The 11,010-nt window shown below is 43.7% G+C and overlaps 2 annotated features.

Annotated features, from left to right (window-relative positions):
* Positions 3,127-3,216: a silencer, noted in NCBI's record as "silent region_4001". NCBI's record gives its function as "represses an Ori minimal core promoter by ATAC-STARR-seq in GM12878 lymphoblastoid cells {active_cell/tissue: GM12878}" and the evidence as "EXISTENCE:reporter gene assay evidence [ECO:0000049][PMID:35858748]".
* Positions 3,797-3,946: an enhancer, noted in NCBI's record as "active region_5643". NCBI's record gives its function as "activates an Ori minimal core promoter by ATAC-STARR-seq in GM12878 lymphoblastoid cells {active_cell/tissue: GM12878}" and the evidence as "EXISTENCE:reporter gene assay evidence [ECO:0000049][PMID:35858748]".

An 11,010-nucleotide genomic window follows, 5' to 3' on the forward strand; every position in this document is an offset into this window, starting at 1 on the left:
GACTGCTGCTTCCTGGAGAGGAGAGGAGGCAATGAGGTCAGCACTTCAGAGAATAAGAGTTGAAGCCTATAAAGCTGTGAGGAAATTCTGTTAATTATCGAATTGTAACTTTTCAGTAGAGGAAGTCACTTGATCTTTTCAGCCGACTCTGGGAAAAGCAACACATCTATTTAATGCTGACCTTAGATCACCTCTTCATTCAGTACAATCGTTCCTCACCTCCCCAAAGAGACTTGCTTGCTTGGGAAAAATCAGCCTCTAGATTGCTGGGAGCTTTGTGAGTTTTTCTTCCCTCTCTGCAACCTGGTTCTTCAAGTTAAAATAAAAATCACAGCCCTGGGAGGAAAGGAGGGCACATAAATAAGGTGGCTGAAGCTGATGAAAGGGACTCTGTAAATAAGGGGACATTTTATTTGCCAAGTTGCCATAATAAAACACAGGTTTCCGAGTGTTTATCTGTTAACAATTTTAATAAAAAATGTTTCTAATACATGCACATATATAACATTTTTAGAAAATACATAGAAAAACAAGAAAGATAAACTGATTACCATCCCATGAAAACCACTATTCATATTTCAGGGTTCAGCCTTTCTCTGGGTCTCCCCACCTCTGACAGTCTCTCCATCCCTCACTATCTCTCCCTACCTCTTTCTCTGTCTTGCTCCCTCTCTCGTGCAGAACTGGAATCACAAAGTACATAATGTTCTGAACTTGATTTTTTTTCTTCGTTATTTGGAAGAAATATTTTTTCATTTTTAAACACACACAGCCATGAGAGGATGATGCGGCTCAAAGCTCTTAATTCAGGAGTGTGTTTATGTGTAGCCCAAATACTTATTGAGTGCCTACTGGGTACTAAGCTCTATGCTGGGCCTTCATGTGGTGAGAAAGACCTGGTCTGACGGAGCTTACAGTCCAAGGGGAGGATGGCTGCTAAATGATACCCAGCAGAGAAACTGCTTCTGCAAAGTGCCTGCCTGGATACTTTGCTGGATGGTGTTGGCCCAGAGCCAGCAGCTTTAGGGCTGCCTGCGGAAGGTCCCCACAACTGAGGTTTATTATTATTATTTAGTTTGCTGGTGAGACACACACAGAGTCTGCACAGCATCTGGCTGCGGGGTGGATTATGGTTAGCCAAGGGTTCCTTTTTATGGATGACTGCGGTAGTGAAGTTGCAGACTTACCTCCAGCCTCCTCAATTTCTGATGGGAGGCCTGAGTCTGACAAATAGTCCCGTGTCCTCAGTCCCCATCACTCTAGCCCCGTTGGAAGCTGGCCATTGCTTCTAGGCACCAGCCCGAAAGAGAGGAAGACTAATACTTTTCAGGCTGCCCAGCCATAGCCTGTAGAACAGGGGCCAGGGGAGGGCACAAGAGAGAATTCTAACCACCAGCCCACTGATGTCCACCTCTGATGGCCAGTGGAGATGAGTGAGCATCCAGGGCTGCAGGACCTTCTTGTGTGTGTGCTTGGCCCCACTACCCCTTTCTTCTTTGTAAGGGGCTCAACACAGCACCATACACAACTTCAAAACTTGATAGGGTAATTTTTATCTTAAAAGAAATCCTGAGAAGTAAAGGTTCTGAGCTTTGTAGAGAAAGTAAATAAAGTGTAACATTCTGACCCTCAGAGCTAAAGGGGTTGTTATAGAGCTATACCAGGAGCTAGCCTTTAATAAAACCTCCCTTGAAATTGTGTTAGATGTACTAAGTCCCGCTTTCATCTAATGCTTCCTCTTTGGGGTATTAGCCAGGTTGAGGATAAGCAACAGATGCCCACAGGCTTCCCATAAAGAATGTCAGTCATTGGACCTGAGTTGCACTGCTGACTATTCTCAGGCTTGTGGTCCACCACAGCACCTGATTCTTTTCACCTAAGTATGCAGCCAGCTCTTTTCCTGCATTTGTGCAATTGAGTTACTCTACTTGCATCTGTCCCAACTGAACAGCATATGATGGTTTCTGACTTACCACTTCTCCAATATAATGGACCAATTGAACCACAAAGAATGCCCAAATGGCAGCTGCCCTAGATTAATGGGTGTGTGTGGGTATTCTCCCTAAAAATAATGAGAGCTCATGTCTGTGGGGGCTCTGCAGTGAGAGCAATAATTTCAAAGCTGGATATCAGCAGAAAAACTAATGAGACCATTTAAAGTGTGTGTTAATGTGGTATGTGTGTAAAATTAACAACCCTTTGATAGCTAAGCCACAAACACCCTCCTGAGGTCAATCTGGAAGTCACGGCGAAGACTGGCTCTGTGGGGCAGTGTGCCAGATGTGAGTAGGAAGGCCCTGGAGCCCGGAGATGACCCAGCTGCATCTTAAAAATTAATATTGTGTTAAATTAGCTCCCATGTAAATGCCATTTTGTAACAGCTGCCTGGCCTATTCGTGGGAGCAACAGCAGTCGGGAGCACACGGGGTCCCACTTCGAGACCATCTTCCTCCTTTTGATTAATCAGTACCAAACACTAATAGCAAAACTACCACCTAAATAACACCTGTAGCTACCACTTATTGAGTGCTTAGTGTGTGTCACACTCTGCACTAAACGCTTTGCACACGTGGCTTGTCTAATTCTTCCAACATCACTGTTGAGTACTGCTGGCGTCCTATTGAACAGATGTAGAAACTGAGGCTCTGAATATGACATGCCCAGGCTCACAGGCAAGTGGGTGAGCTGGGATTTATTACCTGGGTCTGACTGACTCAAACAGGTCCCATAAAGCATGTCAGTCATTGGAACTGGGTTGCACTGCTGAGTATTCTCAGGCTTGTGGTCCACCACAGCACCTGATTCTCTCTTAACTTGAAGAGTGTTCATCCTTTTTACAAATAAGTGGTGAGCTTCCTTCACAGAGATGTGTGTATTGTGGAGGTAGTGGATGGAGGGGTGTTTCTCTTGCAACCAGAGCCCAGAAATGTTGTTTCCAATCAAAGGATTGATATCTGTTCTGCTGGAAGGCTGGGTTGGAGGCATCTGCATTTTGGTTTAGAAGATCTACTCCTAACCCTGCTGCCAGCAACAGAACATAAGGAGAAGAAGGAAGCTCTTGTTGAAAGGCAGTTGAGGAGTAGGAAAAAAGTCTTACAGAAATGAATCATCTCCACAGGACATCTGAGCATCTGTTCATTGCCCAGCACTTTCTGAACTAGTCTGGACCAGAGAAGAGGCATCTGTGACTTTATCCAAATGGCCTGGTGTCCTGGGGAATGGGAAGCCACCTATACTGGCCACGCCTCCCACATGTATTATAACTCCACCACCTGCCCTCCCCTCTTCCCCATTCCAGGGACCCCTGAGGGGTCAGCAGGGATGCCCTGCTGGAGTGTGTTCCCCAGGGCACCTTGGGGTGAAGTCCTGATACATACTGTCTCATGTTGCACAAGTCACACTGAAGCCAGCCTCTGCCAGCAGAGAAGTGAAGGCCTTTCAGAAACTATCAGAAATCCAGCCAAGAAATCCATCGCGTCCCTTTGAGAGGGGAAGAAAGAGAGGCAGTCAGTTGACAAGGAAGGAAAGCTCCTGGCAAGAAGCATAACCCAACTCCCAGTCCCAGGGTAGAAGGGAAAGAGAAAGAATTAAGAAAGAAATAGTCAGCAACTTATGTTCCTTTCTATTTTCACAAACAAGATCTGCTGACTGACCTTTCAGATCAGCTGGGAAATGATACCGCACACGGAGCATGCAAATAGGACCCACTGTATTTCCCTGACACTCTGCGCCCTGCCTGCTCCAAGACCCCAGAGAGACCCTGGGGACGCCTCAGTTACAGTAGAAAATCCCAAATGAGCACAGCCTGGCTGGGGAGCCAAGATGGGGCCAAGAATCAAGATTCAGTATCAGGACGGCTCTGGGGCCGTGGCTAAAATGTGTTCTGGGGCATGAATCCTGGTTGCTAAGGTGACAGGCCCAACACCTCATGCTAAGGACAGGACGATGCCCGCTGTGCCTCAGTTGGAAAAGGGGCTTGCCAGTGCCAGATCCCAGGAATGCAGGCCACTCAGCTCCTCCCTCTCTTGAAAGCATATAAAGGGCAAATGGCCCTCCCAGCCACCAGATAAATGTCTGTTTGTCCTTGGGGTGTATTTCTTTTTTAGCAACCTGAACCATCTTCGTCATCTTCAAACTCCAATGCTATTCAACACCCTCCACAATCTAGCCGAAAATTAGTCTTACAGTCCGCCCTGTGAAATAGCCGATCTGAACTGTTCACCGCTCTCAGACCTCCCACCAAACTTGCCATGTCTTTGTTCGAACCATTCTCCGTGCCACGCTTGCCCACCTCCTCACCTCCTTTTAGCTAATACAACCCTACCAGTCCTCCAAAGACCCGCTCGAATGCCACCTCTCTGACGATGCTGTCCCTCATTGTTCCAGCCACAGGTTGTCTATGAAATTTGGGCAGCACCCCTCCTGTGGCTCCTCCCACATACTAGTATACACAGTGGATATTTGTGCGGTTCTCTCCCTTTACCATATTAAAAGCTCCATGTGTTTAGGAAACTGTCTCTTATACTGTCTGTCTCCTGTTCCCTTCATCAGCTAATCCAATACAATGTCGCTATTCCCTTTTCATTGTTCTATCTCATTCCAGCTCCCACCCTTTAAATATGGTGTTTCTCGATCCTGCTCTGAACAATGATCTGACTTTTTTCTGGCCTGGTAGCCTCTGCAGATTCTGGTATGTTTAGAACTACACTTTGGAAGCTTAGTCTGAGGGCATCGCCTGGGAAGGAACGGTGTTGGGGAGAAAATTGGTCCACAGTGTTGCACTGTGCATTCAGAGAGATGTTCATATAAATGGTGCCCCATGAATCATGCAACACGGCTGTGCAAAACAGAGAAGAAGCTGAAAGATGAGTGAAGGGGCTTTTTCAACAACCGAGGCAAAAATCAAATGTAACCCCGGGAAATGGGAAGAAGAGAACAAGTACAAGTGACACCGTAAAGGAAGAAGCAATAAGACATGAGACTCTAAGGGTCCTTTGCTATTTCCTACTTACCTATTATCCATCCCCCCACACCTCTTCTCATACAGAATTCTGATTGCTCTTCCTTTGAGGGACCACCTTTACCATTCACAGGCCATGTGGCTTGAGTGGTGAATGTGATCACCACTGGCCAATGAGATCACCATATCCCCATGAGGACAGGTTTGGAGTAGGCATGTAACCTAAGTCTGGGCAAATAAAAGTTTTATCTGGGACTTTTTTTGTTTTTTTTGTTTGTTTGTTTTTTCCTTTTTAGGCTAGTGTAGCCAAGCTAGAGAACCTTTCAAGAATGAAAAAAAAAAGAAAAAAAAAAGACAAAGACAGCCTTTCCAATCATGTGAGCCAGCCTATTTTCTTTTGGCTCAAATCAGTTGGACTGGATTTCTGTAACACGCAATTGAGAGTCATGGCTAACCTAAGAACTGCCAGATTTTGGACATATGGGAACTGAAGAGTCAAAAACGCCCTGATATTGGGGGATCTGGGAGGAAGGTGATTACCACCATCAATTGTCCAAAGTACAAAAGACAAAGGGATAGTATAAATACCAATATTTAGAAAGCAATATACTACATGAGCTGAAACTCATATAAAAATTTCAACCAAGATTGGTATGTTCAGAGCAAAAAAGAGAAGGGAGGGAAAATGATATATTTTTAACAACCAGTGGAAAGTGAAATTAATTCAGATGCTATTGTACTTCTGCTTTCTTTAGGAAGTGATATCTTCAAACTGAAAAGAATAGTACAAATGCCATAAAAAGAGAAATGAAGGTGAAGATATGTGACAATCTAGTAAAAGAGAATTTACTCACTGAAAATGTGTTCACGTTCCCAGGCCCGTTTGGACAACGTCCTTGAGCACTGGAGGAACTTGAAGGTGTGAACTCAGCATCACTCCAGTTTTCTGTCATTGAAAATGACAGAAAAGAGGAGAGAGAGAGATGCCAAAAGACAATGCCCCAACTTTGAACAAGGGAAAGGGAGGTAGCTTCTGAAAACCTCACACTGAAAATCTAGACATCAATCTGCAGCAAAATTCCAGAGTTGATTATTAAACAAGCGGATGTGAATACTTTAAAAATGAATGCAGTGGTCACCAGAAACTAGTGTGATTATATGTATAAACCAACATCATTGCCCTAGTCTTTTTTTTTTTTTTTTTGAGACGGAACCTCACACTCTCACCCAGGCTGGAGTGCAATGGCGCAATCTTGGTTCACTGCAACCTCCGCTTCCCACGTTCAAGCAATTCTCCTGCCTCAGCCACCCAAGTAGCTGGGATTACAGGTGCCTGTCACCATGCCCGGCTAATTTTTTTTTGTATTTTTAATAGAGACAGGGTTTCACTATATTGGCCAGGCTGGTCTCCAACTCCTGACCTCAAGATCCATCCGCCTCGGCCTCCCAAAGTGCTGGGATTACAGGCGTGAGCCACGGGGCCCAGCCGACCCTAGTCTTTACAATGCCCGAAAAACCCTTCATAATTTGGTGCCTGTTTACTTCTCCTTCTTGGTCCCCTATCACTCTACCCACCTAGTCCACCCCTCACCCCTATCCCCACCCACTGCACACACATACAAGCTCTCCCTCTGCTAAAGCCACCTTCATTCCATTTCTATAATGCACCAAATTCATTCTTTCCAAGGGACTTTGCTATGATGATTCCTGAGGCCTGGAGCCCTCATTACATCCCATTTCAGCATAGCAAGCTACTTCTCACCTATTAGATCATCTCAATACTACCTTCTCAAAAAAAGACCATTACTATTCAGCCATTAAAAAGAAGGAAATTTAGGCCACTGGGGTGGCCCACGCCTGCAGTCCCAGCACTTTGGGAGGCCGAGGTGGGCAGATCACTTGAGGTCAGGAGTTCAAGACCAGCCTGGCCAACATGGTGAAACCTGGTCTGGTCTCTACCGAAAATACAAAAATAAGCCAGGCATGTGACACGTGCCTGTAATCCCATCTACTCAGGAGGCCGAGGCAGGAGAATCACTTGAGCCTGGGAGGTGGAGGTTGCAGTGAGCTGAGACCACGCCACTGCACTCCAGCCTGGGTGACAGAGCAAGACTCTGTCTCAAAAAAAAAAAAAAAAAAAAGAAGAAGAAGGAATTTCTGCAATATGTGACAATATGGATGAACTTTGAGGACATTATGCTAAGTGAAATAAGCCAACCACAAAAGGACAAATACTGCATAATTCCACTTATACAAGGTATCCGAAATAGTCAAATTCTCTAGAATCAAAGAATGGAACGGCGGTTGCCAGGGGCTGGGAGGAGGAGGAAATGAAGGGTTACTCATCGACAGGTGCAAAGTTTCAATTATGTCAGATGAATAAGTTCCAGGAACCTGCAGCAGAACATTGTACCTATGATCAACAAGAATGTATTATATGCTTAAAAATTTGTTGAGGGTAAATCTTGTGTTACAATAAAATAAAAGGCTTTATTAAAATAACTCCCATTCACTCTTGATTCCACAATATTATTTTATTTTCTTCATAGATCATATTCCTATACAAAATAATCTTATTTGCTTGTTTAGCACTTCCTAGAACTGTCCTGTCCAATTTGGCAGCCACTAGCTACATGTGGCTATTGAACACTTAAACTGTGGCTAGTCCTAATTGAGATGTGCTGCAGATGAAATACGCACTGGTTTTCGAATAACAGGTTAAATGCAAAATGCCTCATTAATAAATATTTTGCATATATTCAGTTAAATGTAATCTATTATTAAAATTAATTTTATTTGTTTCCTCACTTTTTGTAATGTGACCATTCAAAAAATAAAATTACATGTGTGGCTTCCAGTATATTTCTTTGTTCTTTTTCTTTTTTCTTTCTATTTTTTTGTGAGACGGAGTCTTGCTCTGTCACCAGGCTGGAGTGCAGTGGCGTGATCTTGGCTCACTGCAAGCTCCGCCTCCTGGGTTCAAGCGATTCCCCTGCCTCAGGCTCCCTGGTAGCTGGGACTACAGGCGTGCGCCTCCACACCCGGCTAATTTTTTGTATTTTTGGTAGAGGCGGGGTTTCACCATGTTGGCCAGGATGGTCTCCATCTCCTGACCTCATGATCCGCCCACCTCGGCCTCCCAAAGTGCTGGGATTACAGGCATGAGCCACTGTGCCCGGCTGGCTTCCAGTATATTTCTATTGGACAGCAATGTCCTAGAAAACAAAAGGCTTTTTCTTCTTCTTCTTTTTTTTTTTTTTTTTTTTGAGACACGGTCTTGCTCTGTCACCCAAGTGGGAGTGCAGTGGCATGATCTGATCTCAGTTTTCTGCAACCTCTGTCTCCCAGGCTCAAGTGATCCTCCCACCTCAGCCTCCCAAGTACCTGGGACCACAGGGCTTGCCACCACACCCAGCTAATTTTTATATTTTAGTAGAGCCAGGGTTTTGCCATTTGCTCAGGCTGGTCTTGAACTCCTAGGTTGAAGCAATCCACCTGCTTTGGCCTCCCAAAGTGCTGGGAGTATAGGCATGAGCCACTGCACCTGGCAAAAAGCTTCTTAAGAACAATGACGTTACCTGTGTTGTTCAACACAGATATAGATATAGATATACATTCACATTTAGCACTATAGTTGGCACATAGCAGGTATTCAATAAAAAATTTGCTGATTGAGTTAATCAGTCCTTTTTTTTGTTTTGTTTTGAGACGGAGTCTCGCTCTGTCACCCAGGCTAGAGTGCAGTGGCACGATGTCTGCTCGCTGCAAGCTCCGCCTCCCGGGTTCACGCCATTCTCCTGCCTCAGCCTCAGCTGGGACTGCAGGCACCCGCCATCACACCCGGCTAATTTTTTTTTTCAATTGTATTTTTAGTAGAGGAGGGGTTTCACTGTGTTAGCCAGCATGGTCGCGATCTCCTGATCTCGTGATCCACCCACCTCAGCCTCCCAAAGTGCTGGGATTACAGGCGTGAGCCATCACACCCAGCCAATTGCCTTTTTTTTTTTTTAAAGGAAAAAAAAAGAGTCACTAGATTGGTAAATCTTAGAAATGCTCTATCTTTTATTCATCAAGGCATTTGACAAAAGCTGTCATTTGTTCATAGCAAATCCAAAGTCATCAGAAGGGTTATTCCCCAAGAATGTTGACTCCAGGTCACTGGGATAAGCTACTTTCAGAAAGAGGAAAAGCAAGTTCAAAGTATTGACTTTCATTGAATCTAAGTCACCATCCACTGTAAATGCACTACTATTTTATCTACAACTGAGAAACAAAAACTGCCAAATAAACTAAGATACTCTATTGATTGTAAGCTGTCACCCAATTTCAGAGATGCTAAAATGTGAGGAAAAATGTGTGTCTTAGAATGTATTCATCCCTTCTGATTGTTCACCCAGACCCTATCTGGACCATCTATGTGGAGGCTGAGATTTCTGTTTCTCTCATCCTCTTCATTCCTTCCTTCACTTCACCCTGGTGGGAAGAGTATATTTTGTAAGACATAGTAAAAAAGCCAATATTTTTACCATAGCAACTCTTCAACAATATTCTATGGGAGATGGTGCAAAGGTAGATTTGGGACTGTTCCATCCTAATGAATTTGGAACATTTAAACATACTCCTATGACAGAAAGTAAGGAATTTCATCCATCCTTTCAGGGAGGATCCAGGAAATTTGGGGCACAGAGTAAAGAGGTCAGGACACCAAAGGGAGAAGTGGCTCCATGAGGCCTTCAGGGAATGAAACAAATGAAAACATCTTCAGAAGAAAGCTATGCTTTGGGACATCTTTTGGTCTCTGTGTGGTTGTGGTGAAATGATAATGCATTGGTTTCCTTCTTATAATAAATTATGCCTGCACCTTTCCATAGATTGCTGAGCATATGAACCATTTTGACTGCTACAGATTAAGGGAGATGTTGACAAAAGGAAAATATCTAGATGAATACTTCTCAAGCAATGGTTTGCAAATCATGAACACCAGGGAGTTCTTTGCCCCTGTGGGCACATTGTGGGGTGAGGGGCAGGCGGAAGAGACCTGAGCAGGAAGGCCTTAGAAATCCATTCCAGCTCCTCTTTTATGGGTTTTGTGTGTTTGCCTACTATACGGGTGTTCTGAGAGCAAAGTGGTGCCTGGACCATTTTTAGATTTGTCGATGCCCTACTCATAGGTCTATTTTCCCATCTTTAGAGTTAGCTATTACAAGCTGACAGGCTATGGTTAGGACAAACATTTATAATCAGACCTTACCGTCATCACCAGACACTCACCTATATTTGAAAATTCCTTGAATTCAGAGCTCCAGCCTAATGACCCCCCTACTCTCTGCCCTTCCTTGAAGGTCCTGCTTCTGGGTAAAATATGATTTTCTATCTAAATAGGCTACCTTGCTAAAATAATTTTGAAAATTGCTAATTTAAAACAGTGGTTCTAAAACATGGTCAAACATTGTTATAAGTTGATAACACAATATCATTGATATTACAATACAGATTATTGGGTCCCATCCCAGACCTACTGAGTCAGATTCTCTGGCTGCTGTCCAAGAATAAAGTTGATTGCCTGGAAAACAGGTGAGCTGTCTATCACTGGAAGTGTTCTCATTATGGTAGATGATCAGGTTTCAGCCAAGTTCATGGAAGTTCCTTTATTGGGAGTTCCTTTAAATTAGAAAAGCTCTCTAATATGACCTCCAATGCTATAAGTCTTTGATTTTATCACTAGACTGGAAACCAGGATTTCTCCCCTAAATTCTCTGCGTTTAACACTAGTGAACTGTAACAACAGGGGTATGCAATGGAGTGTTAAGTATCCCAGGAATATTTCTAGTACTTTAACAGGAATAAGACTTCATGATAATTATGCTTTGGTTCTGATATATTTCCCAGACAGAAGAAATCAATATAACTAATTAAAGAATGGAGAGAAACAATGCAAGAATAATTTGAATTCATCTTTCGGTTGCAGAGATAATAAATTCTTACATGTTAATATGGAGTAGCTATTGATATATTACAAAACTAATAATACAACTTCAACTCAGCAGGCG

The sequence above is a fragment of the Homo sapiens genome, chromosome 11 (genome assembly GCF_000001405.40).
Source record: "Homo sapiens chromosome 11, GRCh38.p14 Primary Assembly".
Classification (NCBI taxonomy): Eukaryota; Metazoa; Chordata; class Mammalia; order Primates; family Hominidae; genus Homo; species Homo sapiens.